Source organism: Homo sapiens, chromosome 2 (genome assembly GCF_000001405.40).
Source record: "Homo sapiens chromosome 2, GRCh38.p14 Primary Assembly".
Lineage (NCBI taxonomy): Eukaryota > Metazoa > Chordata > Mammalia > Primates > Hominidae > Homo > Homo sapiens.
In genome coordinates this window covers 106,565,217-106,587,696 of record NC_000002.12, presented here as the reverse complement: position 1 = coordinate 106,587,696, position 22,480 = coordinate 106,565,217, and the positions used below count along the sequence as shown (strand labels likewise).

The 22,480-nt window shown below is 46.2% G+C and overlaps 1 long non-coding RNA gene across 1 annotated transcript; it reads right to left on the bottom strand.

Annotated features, from left to right (window-relative positions):
- Positions 1–13,877: 13,877 nt before the first annotated feature.
- On the bottom strand, positions 13,878–21,124 carry LOC124907863 (uncharacterized). Its single transcript, XR_007087168.1, has 2 exons — positions 18,562–21,124; positions 13,878–18,229 (listed from the first exon to the last, which is right to left on the bottom strand). It is a non-coding gene; the product is annotated as an uncharacterized LOC124907863 (long non-coding RNA).
- Between the last annotated feature and the right edge of the window lie 1,356 nt (positions 21,125–22,480).

Below are 22,480 nucleotides of genomic sequence, written 5' to 3'. Positions count from 1 at the left end.
AGTGAACAGAAGCAATGAAAACCTAAGTCTCATATTTTAGACAAGAAACGAACATAATGGGAAGGTTCACAGGCGGCATAGGATTTCCCCACTCGCTGCGCATACCCTGGATGGGCAGCAGGGGGCAGCGGAGCACAAGAGGACCGGGACCACAGCGCCCGGAGGCTGATACCCCGCAGCTGATCCACAACACTGCAAGCTCACCCCAAAGAGGGGCAGTGTGTGAACCCAGAGGACTCTCGTCAAGTGAAATAAGACAGGCATGAAGGACAAACACCGCAGGATCTCACTCCTATCTGGAACCTTAAAAAGTTGATTTCATGGAGGTATAGAGTAAAATAGTGACCAGGCGCTGGGGAGAGCAGGGGGGAGGCAGGGAACCAGAGAAGTTGGTCATCCGGGCAAAGTCACAGTTAGGAGGAATGATTTCTGTTACACAGTAGGGTGACCATAGGAAATAATGTAGTGTATATTTCAAGATAACCAGAAGATACTCAATGTTGTCACCACAAAGAATAAACGTCTAAAGTAATGGATGTGGTAATTATTCCAATTTGATCATTGTGTGCATTGAAACATCACACTGTACCCCATACACTTGTACAATGATAATGTGTCAATTATACATTTTTTTAAAATCCCATTAACAAAAAAAAGAAAAAGGAAAGAAAAGGGACCAATTGTCCTCTGCCAAACTGAGTATTCTAGGCTTGGCTAGATCTGTATGGCCAAAGAAAAATGAGGCAAAATAATTAAACTCTCAAATGTCACCTAGAAAAACCAACAGCACACACTATCTAAACCCACGCAGTTATTACGTGGGAAGCCGAGGCACGAAAATTGCTTGAGGTCAGGAGTTCCAAACCAGCCTGGGCAACATCTACAAGCAACAATATCCCGTCTCTACAAAAATACAAAATTAGCTGAGCATGATGATACTGTAGTCCTGGCTACTCAGGAGGCTGAGGTGGGAAAATTGCTTTAACCCAGGATTTTGAGTCCGCAGTGAGCCTTGATGGCACCACTGCACTGAGCCTAAGCCACCGAGTAAGAAGACCCTCTTACATACATACATAAATGAAATACATACATACATAAATACATACATAAAATCTATTTAAAGCAATTAAAATTTCTACTGCTACTATAGTATAACACAACTAGATTCAAAACAGTCTTCTCAACAAAGCAGAGTATTTTTCAAGCAACAATTCTAAGCCACACGCTGCCGTCCCCTACTCAGTATCCACCCCTAGCCCACACAACTCGCTACCCTCGGCCCTGACTCACTCAACTACCTACCGGACCCCACTACCCACCTACACCCCGTGTAAACCCACGCACTATCTACACCGTACCCCATTCCACTCATTTAACTCCACGCTTATTAACTTACCTTCCCCAAACACATACCTGCTCACAACCTACCTCTCATTCTAAGTAACAAATATAAAATCATTGTCAAAAGCATTGACATACTTGCAGTACTCTTCCCTGCAGAAATACTATCTTTCCTTTTACTGAAATCTTTTGTGATCCTCCGGTAAATACCAGTTTTTTTATCTACGATTTTATGGCTTCTGTTGGCTTAGTCTATTTGTTGTTGTAAACAAAATATTTTCCATAACATATTCAACATTATTATTGCAGTGTAAGGAAAACAATTGACTTTTATCTACTTACTTTCTACGTTGGGACTTCTCTGAACTCTTGCTTATAAGTTCGTGAAACGATTCTCGTGAGTCTTCCCTCAAAATGTTTTCACGTATAGGAAATGTTGTTGGAATCACAGCAAAAAGAGTGGTGATGAACAGAGGTGGAAGGAGCCAGGCATTACGCTCGTCCTTCATGGTTCCGCCCCCTGGCCCAGCCTCTGGGTCACACCCTTCCTTAAGGCTGCCCTCCCAGTTCTCCTGTCCCTCTCGGTTGAGCAAGCCCAGGGTCCTTTCTTGCCAATCTGGACCTGGTGCTGTGTCCGGAATTGGTGGGTTCTTGGTTTCACTGACATCAAGAATGAAACTGCGGACCCTCACAGTGACTGTTACAATTCTTAAAGATAGTGTGACCAGAGTTTGTTATTTCTGATGTTCGAAAGGGTTCGTAGTTTTTCCTTCTGCTGGGTTCGTGGTCTTGTTGGTTTCACGAGTGAAGCTGCAGACCTTCGCGGTGTTACAGCTCTCAAGGCCGCGCGTCCACAGTTGTTCATTCCTCTCAGTGAGTTCGTACTCCCGTTGGCCTCAATAGTGAAGCAGCAAACCTCTGCAGTCAGTGGTACAGCTGACTCAAATGAAAGCACTGCGGACTCAAATGAGTAGCAGCAGCAAGCTTTACTGCGAATATTAAAAAAAACAAGCCATACAAGCCCCACAACAGAACCTAACCTGATTGCCACTGCTGCCTCAGGCAGCCTGCTTTTATTCCCTTATCTGACCCCACCCAAATCCTGCTGATTGGCCCATTTTACAGAGAGCTGATTGGTCTGTTTTACAGAGAGCTGATTGGTCCGTTTTGACAGGGTGCTGATTGGTCCATTTTACAGAGAGCTGATTGGTCCGTTTTGACAGGGTGCTGATTGGTGTGTTTACAATCCCTGAGCTAGACACAGAGTGCTGATTGGTGCATTTATAATCCTCTAGCTAGACACAAAAGTTCTCCAAGTCCCCACTAGATTAGCTAGACACAGAGCACTGATTAGTGCCTTTACAAACCCCAAGCTAGACACAGAGTGATCATTGGTGCATTTACAATCCTCCAGCTAGACATAAAAGTTTTCCAAGTCTCCACCTGACTCAGGGGTTCAGCTGGTTTCCCCTAGTGTATCCCCTGCCCTAGGATCCAGCGCACTAGGATCCCGCCCCAGGTGCAGGTGGAGCTGCCCGCCAGTCCCCCAGGCCGCAGGTCTGCACTCCTCAGCCCTTGGGCGGTGGAGGTGACCCAGCGCCCCTGAGCAGGGGGTAGCGCCCCAGGGCAGGGGGCAACGCGGGTCAGGGAGGCTCGGGCTGCGCGAGAGCCCACTGCGGGAAGGTGGGGCGCTCGAGCGTGGCGGGCTGCAGGTCCCGATCCCTGCCCCACGGGGAGGCGGCTGAGGTCCAGCGAGAATTCGACCAAGGCGTGGGCGGGCCCACACTGCTGGGGGACCTGGCGCGCCCTCCACAGCTGCTGGCCCGGGTGCTAAGCCCCTCACTGCCCGGGAGTGCGCGGCCCGCGGAGCCCGCGCTCACCTGGAACTTGCGCTGGCAAGCACCGCCCTCAGTCCCGGTTCCCGCCGGCGCCTCTCCCTTCACACCTCCCCGCAAGCAGAGGGAGCTGACTCCGGCCTCAGCCAGCACAGAGAAGGGCTCCCACAGTGCAGCGGCGGGCCGAAGGGCTCCTCAAGCGCGGCCAGAGTGGGCACCGAGGCCCAGGAGGCGCTGAGAGTGAGCGAGGGCTGCTAGGCTGCTGTCACCTCTCACTGCCACCACATCAGTGGGCCCTTCTTACTTAAAAGGTGTCCGACAGCTAACCTGAGGACTGACTATTCTGTTAACAGATCTGCCTTAGATGCCTAAGGCATCCCTGCCTTTGAAGAGCTGAGGTTCGCTCCATCCTAAGCCCGCCAAGGCCTCTTCCAGCTTCTGTGTTTCCACGCACAGGCACCTGACGCACTTGGGCCATGACAGGTGAGGTGCTGTTTTAAAGAAGCCTCCTAATTCTTGAAAAGCACTGATGGAAAGACATAGCCTCTTTGTGGATTGTGCTATGTTTGATGGGAGTGCATACCTGAGGCCACAGTTTTGACACCAGGAAAGGAGGGAACCTGAGGTACAGCAGTCACAGGAGGCATGCAGGACCTGCCAGGAGCATTGCAGAGAAGTGGAGCCGGAGCCTGACGCCCTGGGACTTCCCTCCACTCTATTCCTTGCCATGGGCATGGCCAATGGTCTTCTAGTGTGGGCAGGGAAAGTATCCGCACTGATCATCTGAAGGATGCAAAATCAGCACAATCACAAAAAGGCTTCATGGAAGGACTCATCATTCAGCAAATGATTTATCACTAGCTAGGCGCCAGGACTCTGTTTATCTCTTTATCTAGATCAACAGTACTCCCAAGGCCAAAAGCCATAAAGGAGAAGATGCATGGACATAACCAGAGTATTTCAAAATGCCTTCAAGACAAAATTATTTTCAAAACATAGGCAAATGCAAAAGTCAAGTGAAAACTGGAGAAACTGTGTTTACAAGGAATCTAACGAAAACCCAATTTCCTTATGACATAAAAAAAGTATCAAATCAATAGCAAAAAGTAAAACAAAAACCTAATAAAAATAAAGCAAATGACATGATAGGACACAATCCTAAATAGATAAATACATAAATAGATGACTTTAAATAAGTTCTTAGCAATTTCAACCTCACATTTTAAAATTCACGAACTAGTTATTATAAGAGATCCTTTTTCACATATCCAAGTAAAAATTGTTTTACCAGCTTGACCATACACAATGTTTGCAGTGTTGGAGGGAAAGGTACCCTTACACACTGTTAGAGGTAAACAGGCGCCGCCTCTTTGGAATTTGGAATTTGTCAAATACGTAAGCATTTTAAATGCATGTAACCAATGACCCAGCTATCATCCTTTCTAAAATTGGTTTCACAGATAAACTCATTCCTTTTAAATAACTGATTTAATAAGTGACCTTAGGGCACAGATTATTTGACAAGAATATTTATTGTCTACTTGAATTCAGAGATTTTGGCACTGTGCAAGGCACACATGGGGAGTCTATAGATATGTGAATAAATAGCATCCCACCAGACAGCTAAGGACAGAATCATTGCCTGGAATTCTTTCCTCCGGGTATTGTCAATGCGATGTAAGAATATAAAACAAATAATGAGAGAATTCTAAAGCGAGAGGAAATAGAAAACGCTAACCCAAGGGGTTTGGCCGCTTTACCTCATCCTGACTCTAGATGGCAGCATCCGCTCACTTCCCCCAGCTGGGAGACTAGCTCCAGAAGCAGCCTGAATCCGAGCGAAATTGGAAGTTTTCCATGTAGGAGAATCAGCCGGGCACGGGCATCTGCTCAAGCCCCACTTGCAGTTAGGAGGATTCTCCCCACTTGAACGAACTCACAGAAGCAGATATCTGACCCCACTTTGGTCCGTTTACTCCATACATACAAGCCAAGGCATTTGTTTCTTTTTTTTTTCTTTTTTTTTTTTTTTTTTTTGTGGTGGAGGGGCGCTGTGATTTGTTTGGTTATGAGCCAGAAAAATGCCAGATATGTCCTGAGTGCTTCCCAAGCTCAATCACAGATAGGCACTTCCTTGACCTAACTGAGCTTCAAAAACGCATCAGCAAAAACACCCACGTAAGATGTCCGATGGGAGGCACCTCGGGACATATCCTAGGCAACAGCAGGGAGGCCCGCTTCCTCCTGCCGGCCGCGAGCAGCGCAGCACCTCTAGGGCCCGCGGAGAGAGCGAGGTCTCCCTGCCATGCGTGGGGTGGAGGCGGTGCTGTGCAGGACTCCCCTGCGGTCCACCTAGACTCTCAGCTTTAAAACTCCATTCCCAGGCTAAAAGGAAAAGAAAGCACTGGGAGGAGAAAACGGACAAGAAGTTCAAAACTCAGGTTATGGAAAAAGAGATAAATGAATCCTCACAGAAGCAATTTAGACTAGAGGCTTGAAAAGCCCAGGGTTATCTGGAAGAAATGAGATTTCCCCTAAGCATAAAACCTATGGTATGGAAATGAAACTGATTGAAGAAATACGTTGTGTGTGTGGGGGGGCGGGTGTCTATCTTTCAGTCTCTCTCTGTCTCTGTCTCTGTATCTCTGTCTGTCTATCTGCCTCTCTCTGTCTCTGATCTCTGTCTCTATCTCTGTCTGTCTCTATGTCTCTGTATCTCCCTATCTCTCTGTCTCTGACCTCTGTCTCTGTATCTCAGTTAACTCTCTGTAGCTCTCTCTGTCTCTATCTTTCTGTCTCTCTCTCTGTCCCTGTCTTTCTGTCTCTCTCCCACACACACACACACACACACTCCAAACAAAGTGTAGTGAAGGAGAGCTGGATAAATTACTGCGCACATGCTGAGGGAAAAGGCAGATTGATAGACAGGGGTGGCTAAAAAGCAACCCTGCGATCCGGTTCCCAGCAAATCTGCCACTCAAGTTTCTCATCTCATCAGGGATGGGAAGGAACAGAAGGCTCCACTGCGGTGCTGGCTGTGGGCTTATACGTTGCCGATCCCTGGGGACTGGACCTAGTGCTATTCTGCAGAAGGTAATTGAAGAAACCCTACTAGGAATGAAGAAACCCAAGTGAAGGAGGGTGACAGATGGAAAGGAATGCTTCTAAGCAGTTTTCGTGCAGGGTTGTGAAAATGAAGCGTCTATAGAGGAAAAGGACATGTTTCACAGGCTCAAGGATTTGAGTTTAAGCTTCAATAAAGATGAGAAACAGAGTAGGAATTTCCCTAGCAGTTCTTTGTACGGAAATTAGCGTGAAGATCTGAAGGGCTTCGGTACTGACAGCAACTTCCAAACTGCTTCAAGCCGCTCACCATCAAAATGAGGTGAATATCCAAAACATTTCCTCCCTAGAGAGAACTTCTGACAAGATCAGGGAAATGTAAGTTTAGCGACTAAACCAGGACGCGGTGGGCAGGCTCACGGCAGCACCCTCCACTCAGTGTGGCTTCCTTCCTGCCCCTGTCATCACCTGTGAGGTGTGGGCCTTGCAGCGAGATTGGGGTATTCACCCAGTTTTCTTCCTTGAGTCTAAGTGAGGATTGCTTGGTAGACATTAGAATCCACAAGCATAAAAGGTAACGTTGCAGGGGCTGAGGAAGCCACTGCCATCCGGGGAGCCACAGGACATGGAAGCTGAGGGACAGACGGCAGAGCCCTCAGAGGAGCTGAGCTAAAGAGCTTCTAGCAAAACTGCAGTTGCTTGGGGGGACTCGGCACTAAGATTACGACAATTTAGCATTAAGTATAACCCGGATAGGAGTAATTAAGCTTAATATTGCAGAAACAGTATTTTAAAGAAAAAAGATGGACGTATGGCCCAACGAAGAATTTTTTCTGATTTGTGGATTTATGAGTGAAAGTCTTTCAACAAGGGGAAAAGAAGGGGACGGGAGGGGAGGGGAGGGGAGGAGAGGGATATAAGGCATGCTCATGAGTGGTTTCCTCTGTAGGCAGCTGGGGCCCCAACCGGCTGGGTCTCCTGGACAGTGTGGACACACCCCAGGGCTGCCTCTCCTGAAGGCAAGGATGCTGGGCACACCGGCTCTTGTTACCTGCTTTAGTGGCTGCTCCTGGTGGTGTCAACTGCCCTGCACTTCTGGCATGTTACAAGCATGAAACAGAGCAAACAAAACCCTTGGTGGGGAACCTCAGATGCCTGGAGTATAGACCTTCAGAGGGTTCTGGAAGGGCCACTCCCGAAAGCCTCTGAGCAGCAGCATCCACTATGCACCTGTGTAAGAGAGCAGGCTGCCTGGTTATTATGGGGTGCCACAATCTCCCCAGCTACCAACATACGAGATGATCCTAGAGATAACCAGAGGCACCATGGACTGGCTGGTTCACCGTTGTACAATGGATTGATTTGGCTGCATTTAAAGCTGGCCCCAGTCCGAGGAAAAAGACAGACGCCTGGCTGGCCTCTGCTGTCACCTTCAGAGCAGGGTTGTTCTGTTTTTCTAACAGCTGGTTGGATTCATCTAGATAATTTCCACTCTGCCTTTTTGTCAGCAGATCTCTTTAGCTGCGGTTTTGACCCTAGGTCGCCAGACCACTCACCAAGATGAAAAGTGGTAGTGTATTTTTCTGTCAGCCAGCCCAGAGGCTGCCAGCAGTGCCCCTCGGCCAAGGGCTTTGACCTTGGACGTTAGCGAGCAATGACCCACAGGGCAGCAAGCAAGGGGAAGTGTTGCTCTCTTGCTTCCTTCTTATTTCTCATGCTGTCTGGGAGTTTTCATAAATTTGAGCTAGCTTGAAATCATGTACATCGTGTTTATGTGCAGAAAAAAACCTACACTGTATCGATAACTTAGTTTACAGTTTACACAGATACTTTCACATTCTTTCTTTATCTGAATTCAAATCTGCCCATACACTTGTCTCTCCGTCAAGCCTAATATTTAAAGGTCAATTTACAAACAGCGTGTGTAATCTTATGAATTCTTGCCACATGGTGCCATCTGAGTCCATCTCCCAATCATCTTTGAAAATCTAAGAGAAATTCCAGATTGTTTGACTTTTAGTCTGATAATAGATGATCTCTAAACAGTTTACAACATAGTCATTTTGAGATTGAAAATATCAATCTCATTTTTTTGTTTCACAATGGCTGCTGCCTTAAAAACCAATCCAGTTTGCTGTATTTATTGTCTTATTTGCTATAAATCTAGAGCCAATTATAGCAGTTTCTCATACATTGCCCATAAAAAATGCTATACTATTTCAGCTTTTCAAGTGATGGATACTCTCATAAGAAAATTAGAAAGCTTCCAACAATGGGTCTCATAGATGACTACTACTTTGTCCTCATTTCCAAATGACACAGTCATCTAAGGAATTAAAGGAACTGGAAGTGGAGTGAGTTTTTATGTGCATGATGAAGAATGTTACTTTCAAAGTACAGATGCAACCCAACTTACACAATGGGGTTACATCCCGATAAACCCATGGTTAAGTTGAAACTATCCAAGTCAAAAATGCATTTAACACACCTAACCTATAGAATATCATAGCTTAGCCTAGCCCACCTTAAACATGCTCAGAACACGTACATTAGCCTACAGTGAGGTAACATCATCTGAAATCATAGCACCCTGTACATTATCAGCTATTTGCCCTCATGATCATATAGCTGACTGGGACATCTGGCTCATTGCCCTGCCCACCATTCTGAGTATTGTTCCACATATCCCTAGCCCCAGAAAAGATGGAAATTACAAATTTGAAGTACTATTTTTACTAAATGCATATTGCTTTTGCACCATCATAAAGTCAAAAAAGCCTAAATTGAACCACTGTAACCGTCTGTAGTTGGTAGCTGATTGGCGAGGCAAGACAACAAAGACATATGTCTAAATAAACATGATGTTTTCTGAAGCGTTCCTATCTATCTTTTCAAAATATTTAGCAAAGCATCATATATGCATTAAACACTCTGCTGGATGCTGAGAAAACAAAGAGAAAAAGTCTTGGCTTTTGCTGTCAAACAGGGAAGTTGTTTCAGAAAGGGAAATGCACGTGCAAAGTGACATAGGAATGAAATCGCGATCTTCAAATCAGACTTCCATTCTGCTGGGGGGTAAAGAGGAGGGCAGGAGTAGTAAAGATGAGGCCAAGCAGGTGGGCAGGAGATTGGGAAAGTCAATCCCGTGTGCCCTGGGACGAGCCTGGTTGATATGCTCCTGGCGCTGAGCGGCCACAGAATATGTGCGAGAGTGGCCAGCTTTTTACCTGAGAAAGTCACCGTAACTACGATGTGGAGTGAAGCAAGATGCTTGGTGTATGCCCATTGTATGTCCAGAGGATAAGTGGCACGAAGGTGGGAGAGAGACATGGGACCTGTGAGGCATATCAGGCAGGCTGGAGGGACAATCAGATTCGTAGATTCAGAAAGAGCCAAATCCAGGATAAGGCTCAGGTTTCTGACTTGGGTAAGAGGTGCATGGTGAGGTGCTTCGTAGAAATGGAGAGAGGAGAAGGAGCCGGTTAAGGACAAGTCAATGTGTTCAGCCCTTGCCACCCTGAGCTACACATGCCCCAGGGGCTTTTGAGTCCATGACATCCATGACACGCGGGGGCTCAGGAGAAATGTCTACGTGGAAAATGTAGAACCTCCCTCTGTAGAAAGAGGAGAGGAGAGAGGGCTGAAGACACAGCCCATCGTTCACAGGTGCCCACAAAGGAAACTGAGTGAGGGACACCCTAGGAAGAGGAGGAGGTCATGGACTAAACCTTGCCAATCATGCTGCAAACACCACATGCCCATCATCAGGCTTCACCCATCATCCGTGAATGAACCAATCTTTTTCTCTTACACTTCAATCCACTTTTTCTTCCCCAGATTGGAAATAACTCCCAGACATCAGAGCTTTTGAGAGGTGAGGCCAGCTGGACTTCCTGGGTCCAGTGGGGACTTGGGGAACTTTACTGTCTTACAAGAGGATTGTAAAACGCACCAGTAAGTGCTGAGTAAAATGCACCAATCAGCGCTCTGTAAAATGCACGAATCAGCAGGATTCTAAAAGTAGCCAATCCTAGGGAGGATTGAAAAAAGGGCACTCTGATAGAAGGGAAATGGAACATGGGAGGGGACAATAAGGGGATAAAAGCTGGCCACCCCAGCCAGCAGTGGCAACGTGCTAGGGTCCCCTTCCATGCTGTGGAAGCTTTGTCCTTTCGCTCTTCACAATAAACCTTGCTACCACTGACTCTTTGGGTCCATGCCATCTTTAAGAGCTGTAACACTCGAAGGTCCACGGCTTCATTCTTGAAGTCTGCCAGACCACCAACCCACCAGCAGGAACCAGCTCCGGACACACTTTCATCTCTAAACGCAGGCGTGTGCGGCTCCAGAAGACAGGACTCTCTTTTAAAAAACACAACCTTAGGCCGGGCGCGGAGGCTCACGCCTGTAATCCTAGCACTTGCGGAGGCCGAGGCAGGTGAATCATGAGGTCAGCTTGGCCAACATGGTGAAACCCTATCTCTACTAAAAACACAAAAAAATTATCTGGGCATAGTGGCGGGCACCTGTAATCCCAGCTCTTCAGGAGGCTGAGGCAGGGGTATCGTTTGAACCCAGGAGGCAGAGGTTGCAATGAGGCAAGATCACGCCACTGGACTCCAGCCCAGGCGACAGTGCGAGACTCTGTCTCAAAAAAAAAAAAAAAAAAAAAAAAAAAACTTAGTTTCGCTCCGTTTTGTGGCCCTTTTGTCATATTTTCATCATCTCAAGGGACTTCTTTTGCGCGTATGGTCTATTTTCTTATGATAACTTTCCATGTCTCTTGTTTATTTTTATGATTATGATATGAATATTTTAGCAACAAGAGTTTCCCTGAACATATTGGCAGGAGCTGCGAGTCAGCATAGCTTGTCTGTCTTCTGTTGTTTTTGGAGAGTGGTCAAAAATGGCCTGTTCTCTCTCCAATCTGCCTCTTCTCCTTTCGTTCTTAATTGACAAATAATAATTGTGTATATTGATGGGGTACAATGTGATGTTTTCATCTATGTCTACATTGTAGAAAGATTCAGTCAAGCCAATTAACATACCTGTTACCTCACCAACATACTTTGTTGTGATGAGGACGTTAAAAATCTATTCTTTTAACAATTTTGAAATACACAACACATTATTATCAGCTGTGATCTTCTGCTTTTATCTGGACCTTCTCCTCTCTGTTCTTACCGTTCCTGTCTGACTGTAATTGGATTCTCCTTCCAGTGTTTGCCTCCCTGTGGATCTGTTTTAGAAGGGAGTTGAATTCCTTGGTCAGGAGACTGTATAGGTCAGGTTTCTCCCACACCATCAGGCTGATTACATCAGAGCCTCTGGAACAGGAATGCTGCAGACGCCCCCGCAGTGCCTGTTTGGCCCGACCCACCTCCCACAGTGGCAGATGGAGGATGGGGAGCCGCCTCCCAGGGCAGTTGGCTCCCCTCCCTTCCCCTCCCCTCCCCTTCCCTTCCCTCTGCTTCCTCCACACAAGCGCTCATGCCACATTGGTCCTGGGGCTGCAGGTGGTCCCATCCTGCGTGCTTGCATTCGGGGCGTGTGGGGTTCCTTACCACCCACTTGGCTCTCTGGGAGATGTTGTCTGAGTGTCTTTGGTTATGCTATCCTAAGTGCCTTGTTTGCTTTTATGGGCAGATTCTGGAAATTCAAACCCTACCAGGCTGCCCCTGCCATCCTTCTAGAATCCTCTCTAGATGAGAGCACAGAAGAGAGGAGAGAGCAGTGTGAGACACTAATAGAATTAATTAAGTGCTGTCCAGTCGCGGTGGCTCACACCTGTTATCCCAGCATTTTGGGAGGCCGAGGTGGGCGGATCACTGAGGTCAGGAGTTCGATACCAGTCTGGCCAACATGGTGAAATCACAACTCTACTAAAAATACAAAAATTCGCCGGGCGTGGTGGCATGTGCCTGTAGTCCCAGCTACTTGGGAGGCTGAGGCAAGAGAATCACTTGAACCCGGGACGCAGAGGTTACAGTGAGCCGAGATCATGCCACTGCACTCTAGCCTGGGCATCAGAGCCAGACTCCATCTCAAAAAAAAAAAAAGACAAGTGCCATAAAAGGCTCACATTTTCCCAATTAAGCCCAGCCTAAAACTGTCTCTATACATATTTTAAGTTTGGCCTAAAGGTTTCTCCATACACAGTGAACCATAACCTAACTGTATCTGTAAACAGACTGTTACTGACTCTTCTCAGCAGATTAGCTCAACCATGCACAGATGTCCAACTGTTCAAGCCACGTTCAAATAATGCAAGCACCAGCTGTAACCAATCCAGCTATTTCTGTGCCTCACCTTCTCTTTTCTAACCATGAATGTTATCTCACCATGCGGCAGCCCTGGAGGTGCTCTGAACCTATTCTGGTTCAGGGGCCTATCCCACTGGAAAATCATTCTTTACTCAACTAAACTCTGTTACATTTAATGTGTCTAAAGTTTTTCTTCTAACTTTCTTTCCAGCTAAGATACTACTGTTGTTAAATGTCTATGCCCCCCCCACCCCCAGTTGATAAACTTTTTGAGGGAAGCTATCATATTTTATTCAGCTTTCTATATCCAGACCCTATTGTGGCACCCATCATGTAGGAAAGACATGATCAAATTGGGTGCATTGAATTAAAGTAATATTTCTTGCTGAAAACTGTGTATCTACCTATTTTTTTTTTCTGCTGGGGCTAAACAACTGCTAGGAAATAAAAAATGGGTCTAGTTCATGTGTATTTGTAGTTCCAAACGGATTTTCTTTTCCTGAAGGGAAAGTAAGAGTATAATAGACCAAAGAGACCTGAGGTCAAGTAATCAAGGAATTAAAATTTAAGAGATCCTAACTGATAACCTTTACTGATGGTGGCTCCCTGTTTTAGAAAATGAATTGGTGCAAACATTTTCAAAATTACCCGTTAAAAAGTCAGTGCCGCCGAGCGTGGTGGCTCATGCCTGTAATCTCAGCACTTTGGGAGGCCAAGGTGGGTGGATCACCTGAGGTCAGGAATTCGAAAACCAGCCTGGCCAACATGGCGAAATCCCGTCTCTACTAAAAATACAAAAATTAGCCAAGAGTGGTGGCGAACGCCTATAATTCCAGCTACTCAGGAGGCTGAGATAGGAGAATCACTTGAACCCAGGAGGCAGAGGTTTCAGTGAGCCAAGATCGCACTATTGCACTTCAGCCTGGGTGACAGAACAAGACTCCCTCTCAAAAAAAAAAATCAGTGCAAAAATGATAGTAGTTATTATAATTCTTTTTGTTTCATTGCTACTGTGCAGTCTCCAAACTGGCTTCATATAGATCATCTTATGTGAGGCTCACAGCATTTGTGTGAAGTTGGTGGCAAATGAGATGAACTACAATGATGCCAAGAGTTAAATAGCTCTCTAGAAACCATATACAGATTCAGATTCAGTCTTCCAGGAACAGCAGACTATCTCTCATTAATGCTTAGATTTCTGGCCCCACCCTAGAGTAGCTGATCCAATAGGTCAGGGTGGGGCTTGGAAATTCACATTTATGACAAGCTCCTAGATGATGCTGATGCTGTCAGTCAAGGGACACACTTTGAAAACCACAGGTCTTCTGTATTGGTTAATAATGCTTGTCAACCTTAAATAATGAGATTCAGAAAATATGATTAAGTATAGAGTTTATTTGAGTACAAAGCTCAAGGATGGCCACCCCGAAACACTGAACCAATGGAGTCAGTGTTCCAAAGTGGAGAGGTTAAGGGTTCATCTATATGGAAATTTTAGCAGGATTGCAACATTTTCCATACACTACAGCAATCTGATTGATTACAGATTGTTACATTCTAAAAAAAAAAAAAAATTACTCGGCCAGGCACAGTGCCTCATGCCTGTAATCCCAGCACTTTGGGAGGTCAAGGCAGGCAAATGACGAGGTCAAGAGATCGAGACCATCCTGGCCAAAATGGTGAAACCCCATCTCTGCTAAAAATACAAAAATTAGCTGGGCGTGATGGCGCGTGCCTGTAGTCCCAGCTACTCAGGAGGCCGAGGCAGGAGAATCACTTGAACCCAGAAGGTGGAGGTTGCAGTGAGCTGAGATCACACCACTGCACTCCAGTCTGGTGACAGAGCGAGGAGACTCCGTCTCAAAAAAAAAAAAAATTATTACTCCATGAGAAGGGGTAGTGATCTGAGGGGGGCTTATCTCTGGCACCATTTGGTCTTAATTATGTATGGTGACATGAAAGGCAGAAGTTGCAGCTGCATGATGCTTGATGCAGGCTGCATAGTCATTCCTTTCAAGACTCGGGATAATTTAAAGTTCCAACAGCTTAAATTTGAATTCTTTTAAGTTTTTATTTAATTTCACATGCTTAACGGTTATTTGCATGCTCATTTTAAGTTCTGAAGATTGAAAATTCTTAAATATTCACACTAATCCATCTCTTCTTCAAACACCATAGGAATTGGAAATGTATGCATGTTTATCTTCATACACACATCAATGGTTGTGTATTGGGGCACTGGGTGTGAAGAGGAGTATTCATTTTCTTAGAGTTGTCAATTAATAAATAATTACCTGTGTGTATCAGCTACAGTAAAACACTACATTTAGTAGCCTTTACAGTCATTCCACTGAGTTGTATCAAGTTCAAAAGATGAGGCCAGACAGCCTATACCAACAAGGCGCTCAGGTAGGTGTTTCTTAGAAGATGAAGACGCAGTTTTCCTGCACACCACCTGGGGGCAGCAGTGCTGCCTGTGTTTTACAACTGCTGAAACAAACTAAATAGAAACGTGGAATGTCACTATCCAGCTATTGTTTGAGCAAAGCTGCCTGGTCTGCATAAGAGCATAACAATTATAATGCATTGCAATTTGCCAGATAATAACAGTTCCAGAGTTGAAATGTCTGAATTCTGAAAGAACAATGATGGACAGGTAAGAAATAAATGAGTCTTAAAAGTTCATATGTCTTAGCAAACATGTTATTTAAAATAAATGTCATAGGAATCCAGTTGAAAATATTAATAAACTATGTATTTGTCATTTTCTGCAGCTCACAAATATCTGCTGTGAGCAATGCCTTCAGTCGCTTGCCTGAATGGATCTGGTGCTGCCCTGAGAGGCCACTTGTGCTTCTGTCTGCTGAGGGGTCGGTGTCTTTTGCTCACACCCATTCTATCCCTGGGCTTAGAAGTAGGAGATAGTCCTGTTTGTTCCTTGCCATCATTTTCAAATGTTTATACTTTTTCTCCTGCCCTCATCATGTCCCCCATAATCCCTGCCTAAAGAAAAAGCTGTGTGGCCTATGCTGTAGACTGTGGCACCAACCTTGAGCCTTAGAGGTCTCCTCTGAGGCCACCGGCCTCATTCCCTAAAGACCTTAGCACCTGGTCCCTGTCTGTCTCCCCAGCACTGCTTCTGCTATAATGCATCGGTGTGCATATCCACATTGATGGTCCCTCCAATACCTGGCCCTTCAGTGGCTTCCTCCTCTCTTCCAGGTTACTGCTGCCCACAGGATACCAGGAGCCACTTTCCATCACATCATAGACAGTGTCATGATCATAACTGTGACCCTTCATAATCTCTGTCAAGCATCCCACTCCCTGAACCCACCTCCAGTTTTCTGGCCATGCACCTCCACCCCAACAATAATTTGATCTCCCTGGGACCTACACCTCCCTGATGCTAGATTTGCAATGGTCCCTCCTTTCCTCTTCATCCTTGATTCCCTCCACACCAGCTTGGATTCCAGAGCCCACCATTTTAATCCTTCCCCTCCATATGCATTCAGCACTTTTGTCCATTCTCCCACAGTCACGTTAACCTGGAAAGCCCCCAAACCCAATTAAACCCAACTCTACCAGCCCCTCACTGCACCCTTGCACCTGATTATACTGGAGAAAAACTCCTACCTGGTCTACTGGCCGCACTTGAATTTAGGACCACTGACCTCAGGAGGACCCTCCAAGCTGCCTGGAAATCTTGTGTTCACCTGGTCACTTCAGTGTCCCCCTATCCTAGGAGACTATGTCACTCCTATTCCCCTCTCCCCAAACTTTCAACCCTTCTCCCAGCCTCACTCTCATCTGATGACCTAACCTTCTTTTTCACTGAGAAAAACCAATTAACAAAGGATGTCTGCGTCTACCCACCTCCCCGTGTCTAGACCCACACTTGGCCTTCCCTCCTGTTACTGCAGAGGAATTGTTTGTGCCAACTGTTCATGAACCAACCAAGGCCAAATCCTCTGGGGCACTAAACCCATCCCTTCCTGCCATCTCAAGGACAGGCCTCCAGCAATTCTCTCCTCTTCCTCTCGGGCATCACGGGATTTCCCCTCTCCTGGATCACCCCGTCAGGACACAAACAAGCAGGCGCTTTTCTCATCCCGGAAAAAAGAAAGATAGGAAGGAAGGGAGGGGGGGAAATAGGGAAGGAAGGGAAGGAGGGAGGGAAGGAGGGAAGGAGGGAGAAAAGGAGGAAGGAAAAAAGGAAAGAAGGTTTCTTCCAGTTCTACGTGGGCTTAAACCTGTCTCTTGTCGTCTCCATCCTGGTGGATGATAGCAATATCCTTGGGCCTGGGGTCCTCTCCACATCAATCCTCAGCAAATTCTCCCAGCTCTGTCTCAAAGGAGCACCTTCTCCCCACCTCCCGAGCCCCACCTTTTCCCTCAGTGCCTTGCCCTGGTTTATCATAACTGCCTTGTGCCTGCTTCTTTCTGTCCCAACCTTCCCCCTGGAGGCTGTCCTCAAGAAAGCAACAACCATGAGCTCCTAAAAATGCAGTCACTCATGTTCCCCTGCTCAAACCACTCACAGCTCATCTCCCTCTAGGGCTAAAGTGGAAGTTCTTCCAGTGAGCCAGTCTTGCAGAATCATGTATTCTGCAATCAGAATTCCCCAGTCTCCCTGGCCTCTCTCACCTGTTTCCTGCCTCTCTCTCTAGCCACGCTGACCATGTCCCTTTCTTAAGGTCCCACTCCTTCAGGGCTCTCCTCCCACATCTTAATAGGCTCCAGCTGCTATAACAAATTACTGTAGACTAGAGGCTTAAACAACAAACATGTATTCTTTAGTTCCAGAGGTCAATGTCCAGGATCAAGGTGCCAGCAGATTCCACGCCTGGGGAGAGCCCGTTTCCTGGGCTGTGGGTGGCCGCTTTCTAGCTGCACCCTCATAGGGCTGAGACAGAGCTCCAGGTGCCTTCTCTTTTTATAAGGACACTAATCCCATCATGGGGTGTCTTCCTCATGACCTCATCTCACCCCAATCAGCTCCCAAGGCCCACCTCCCAATACCATCCCATTGGAGGGCAGCGTTTCAACATATGAATTTTGGGGGGGGACCCAAACATTCAGTCCATAGCGCCCCATATGCCCTCGTGTGCACTTGGACTTCGCGCCACGGAACGTGTGAGTCCAGCAGCCTTCAATCACCTCAGAGAGAGCCAGTTTGACCCAGGCTGTCCTGTCCGTGTTGATTAGATCAGGGTCCCCCCAACCCCCAGATGGACACGGGCAGCCTGTAGGCCACACAGTCAATAAGCAGGAGCTATGGAAAAGGATGACCACATTGAAAAATATTTTAGAACAATTTTTGCTTGGATCCTTCTTATATGTAAACTTCCAGATAATCTTCAACTGCAGTGGCTACCACCTATGTTAATCATCATGAGAGGTGTTTCATATGAATTAACTAATTCTTAGTTCAGCAATGTTGCAGACAAGTCTAATTTCAATAAGGTGGAAAATTCAAACATTGAACATCACCCTTCCTTCCGCAGGTTAGTGATCAATCCTGAAGGTCAGATGGTTCTAAGTCTCCTGATGGCTCATGGCTTCCAACAACTGGTACTGGGAATGTGATGCATGCTCTCAGCTCTCACCCTGTTCCCAGGCCGCGGTTGCTCTCCAAGATGGCCTCCTTTCTTTAACCCTCCACTCTCAAATCCAGCGTATGTGTCCCCAAGTCTGATTTACTCTCTCTGGCACAGTACACTTGACCTGCAAATACAGCAAGATGGCTTTTGACAGCTGGAGTCCTTCAGGGTGGGCACAGGCACGCCAAGTCAGTCCCCTCTGAGGCCCCACCTGCACGTGGGTTATAGCTCAGTGACTTTGCTACCTTTTTCTTCCAGTTGTCCAGAGGGTAACTGCTGTCATCATACATATATGTGCACACACACGCGCGCACACACACACACTCATGCACACATACAGGCGCATATGCACACACACGTTCTCTCTCTCTCTCTCTCTCACACACACACACACCCTCTTTCCAATGGCAAGTAGCCATTTTTCCCATCCCCTTAAGGAGAGAACAGTTTCCTAACCAGTCCTCGCTCTTTGAGGCCACCTTGCCCACAGTGCAGTTAGTACTTCACAAGACTTCACAGGATTTTGGAGAGCAGGAGTGGTTCCTTTTCTTTTGTCTTTGGTACATTTTCAAATTTGCTGACTGGGTGCTAGAAATAAGAAAAGAACTTGAATCAGCCAAGCAGAAACTTCTAAAGGGCCAGTCCATAGCCACAGAGAGACTCAGCGGGAGATTCTGATTCCTTTTTTGTAAGAATCCAATTAAATTATTTGACAAGGTGTCCCCCAAGTCCTACCCCTGATCCTACCCCCGGTGTCTAGTTGAAATGCAGGCTGATGGCTTTGTTCTTCCAGGTGACATTATACACATCAGGTATAGAGAAGGCAGCGTTCAGTCTATCCCAAGGAGATACTAGCTTTTTCTCAAGTGATAACGCTTCTGAGAGTCCTGCAGGAACACTCAGGACTTGCATGATGCAGGAGAGCTGAGAACACAGCCAGCACCCCAAGAAGCGTTGGCATTTAGGAAAAATGATGCAAAAGCCAGCGTTGACGGAGGTGGTACAGTCAAGCAGGTAAAACTTGTAGTCAGATCAGTTCAGTGAGGTCTGTTCATGGGCCAGGAAAATGGTACACAGTGAAGGCAAGAGAATAATTTGGGGCATATTGATGGGAATCCTGGGCTGTTGGAGCTCGACAGGTAAGGCAGGTGAGCTGCAGCATTGGGGGGTCTGCCTGGGTGGCAGGGCCCCTGCTACCAGTTGGGGCATAGGTAAGGGCCATAGTCCTTTGGAAGGAGTTGAGCAGTCTGCTTCAGAGTCCCCTAAAAATAACACATCTGGCAAAGGGACAAGGGAGGTAGTGCTGGAGCAGTGCAACAAACCATATATCTCTGGAAGCCCTAATTTGCTCAACAGAAAGGTATGCCAGCAGTCTACTCTCAGGAGTGTTTGGGAAGCAAAAAAAGGTCTTGCTACTGAGAACCCAGGTTTAAGCAAATGTGCCAACATGAACATTTAGAGAGAAAGGGGCCTGTCATCTTAGGTTGGATAATAGTAAAAGGAGGGAACTCTGGGTGTAGTCAAACATGAACCAGAGTAGACAAGATGAGTACTCACCACCAGCAGCTTTCCCATTATTCTGGAACTCAGAAAATGGTACTGGCAGCCCCCTTGCACTTGGGAGGCCATATGACTAGGTCTGTCCAAGGAAGGGTGGGCAGAAATGGCACGGGTCATTTTCAGGTGGAGGTGGTGAAGAAGCCATGCCTTACTCTGACATGTCTCTGGCCAGAGCAAAAAAGGTGGAAGAAGCTGGGTCCCTGAGTCTCTGTATGGAGGACATGGCTTTGAGGAGCCGACCAAACCCACAGTGAAGGGAGAACACACTCTTCTGTGTACTGTTGTATGACTTGGGGCTTGTGTGTTAGGGTGGGGCATAGCCCAAGCTAACCTAACTAATATAGCAGGTTTCAAGACTTTCTGAAACACATTAAAGTATAAGCCCATGCCTAGAAAGTCCAAGACAGAAAAAAACCTCGAGTCATTAAAAGGTCTTAAAGAAAACCCCCAAAACTCTGATTCTACAAATAAATATTATCCCAATGAGGAAATGAGGAGTGAAGATACCCAAAGCAGAAAATGTCATTGAATCAAGAAGACCTCTGAAATGCTTAGGAATAAAAGAGACGTGTAAAAAATGAACATAGAATATTTGACCCACCGCAAATGCAAATGAAGAGCAGTGAAATGAATTGTTTCAGGAAAACTGGGACCTCAAAATAATGGAAACTTGTTGAAAAAGCAATGGGCCTTCAAAAGCCCTCAATTAGATATGATCAAAGAAAACCAATGGGAAAAAGGACCACCAATGGGGGCTAAGAAAAGAAAAAGAAAGTACAACTGCTCAGCTGCTATTTTGCTTCCAACTTCTCTCTAAGTGGGAAAATCATGGAACATGAAGGGAGGTGAAACATGATTGGATTATTGTGCTTGATGCTGGGCACATTTTTAGAAGAAATCTAACCAGTTAGCTCTTCTCCGAGGAGAAACTATCAGAAAAGTAAAAGGTCAGAATCCTCTTATATTAGCACAGGTTGAAGGCCGGGTGCAGCAGCTCAAGCCTGTAATCCCAGCACTTTGGGAGGCTGAGGTGGGTGGATTACTTGAGCTCATGAATTTGAGACCAGCCTGGCCAACATGGCAAAACCCTATCTCTACAAAAATACAAAAATTATCCAGGCGTGGTGGTGTGTGCCTGTGGTCCCAGCTTCTTGGGAGACTGAGGTGGGAGGATGACTTGAGCCCAGGAGGCAGAGGTTGCAGTGAGCCAAGATCATGCCATTGCACTCCAGTCTGGACAACAGAGCCAGAGCCTGCCTAGAAAGAAAGAAAGAAAGAAAGAGAGAGAGAGAGAGAGAGAAGGAAGGAAGGAAGGAAGGAAGGGGAGAGGAAGGGAGGAAGGGAGGAAGGAAGGAAGAGAGGGAGGGAGGAAGGAAGGAAGGAAGGAAAGAGAAGATGTAGTGGAGCATAGGGGCTGCAGTCATTGAGTGTTAGGCATAACTCTTGGATTCAAGTGTCCAGAATCTAACCTGAGAGGGAAAAATCTACCAGCTCAAGGACCCCCAAACTCTGGACTAATATGAGCATAGAAAGATCCAAGCCCTTAGGTGCTCTCTCAAATTCACCTTCCCTCCCTCCCTACTTCCTTCCCCTCTCTTCTTCACCTTTCACTCTGCTTCCATTTCAGGCAGACACGTTCTACATGGCAGAAAACAAGACCACCACAGCTCCAGGATCACAGCCCCCTCCATCACTGTGGGACACATGTTTCCAGATGGCTCCAGCAAAGCTACTTATGGTAACACTGAGAGGCTCCTGTGAGTCATGTTCTCTTTATTAGACCAGTCATGTGGCCAGGGCGATGACATCGTCTCATTTGCTGGCTCATCCCTGTGCCTACAGCGACTGGGAGAGGGACAGCCCCCAAAGCGTAAACACAGTGGCGTTACCAAGGAGGGGGCAAGGGTCTCCAACCTACAAGATGCTGGCCTGGAAAAAAATGAATAAAACATGTCCCATACAATACATTTGAAAGGTTTTCACATGGATTTGATTTGAAATATTCATTCCTAGGCAGCATTACTCAGTCCAAGTTGCAGAGATTTTTATTTAATCTAGAGAAACCCTTTTTTAGAAAAATTGGAACTGTTTTTTAAAACGGAAACAGAAAAAGAGAAGAAACATTCTGCTTCATAAAGTAAAGAGCATGGTTATTCACCTGAGATACTGAGGTGAAATTCTTGCTTTGAAAGAGAGGCTGAGTCAGCTGGCTTTCAAAGTCAGTTTCTACACTGACATCAAAACCCTAGGATTCTATTGTATTGTTCAAAGAAAAAAGAAAGCACATAACCAGAAGTACAACCAGGAAGGCAAACTTCAGCAAGATTAGGCTGATAACAAATGTTCTTTTCTTTTTTCCCCCATGGATAAATATAAACCCACTGTGGGTCTGCTGTTCTCTAGGTACCAGCGCAGCTTACTGGCTTGAGTGTCAGGGAGCTCTGAGATAGCTTCCTTGGGGACACAACACTCTTACTTAAAAATGGAACCTTTCAACATATGATTTTAGTTTTGCTGCCCCTGAAAGTGTAAGGTGCTCCCCACATTTCAAGGTGATGTTCCCGACCACAGGGTCACTCCCACCCATCCTGTGCCCGGCAGCACCTGGGCCCCTGACATGGAGTTGCACCCAGCAGAGGTATTTAATAAATACTGGTTGGATTCATGCATGAATAAATTAGTTGTTTGACTAATTAATGAAAAGCCTTATTTAACATTAAGATGGAATGAGCTCATAAGATAATCTAAGTGTTTCTGGAAATGAGGTAATTATAAGCCCTTTGGTCTAATTTTAATGGATAAGAGATATTTTAGA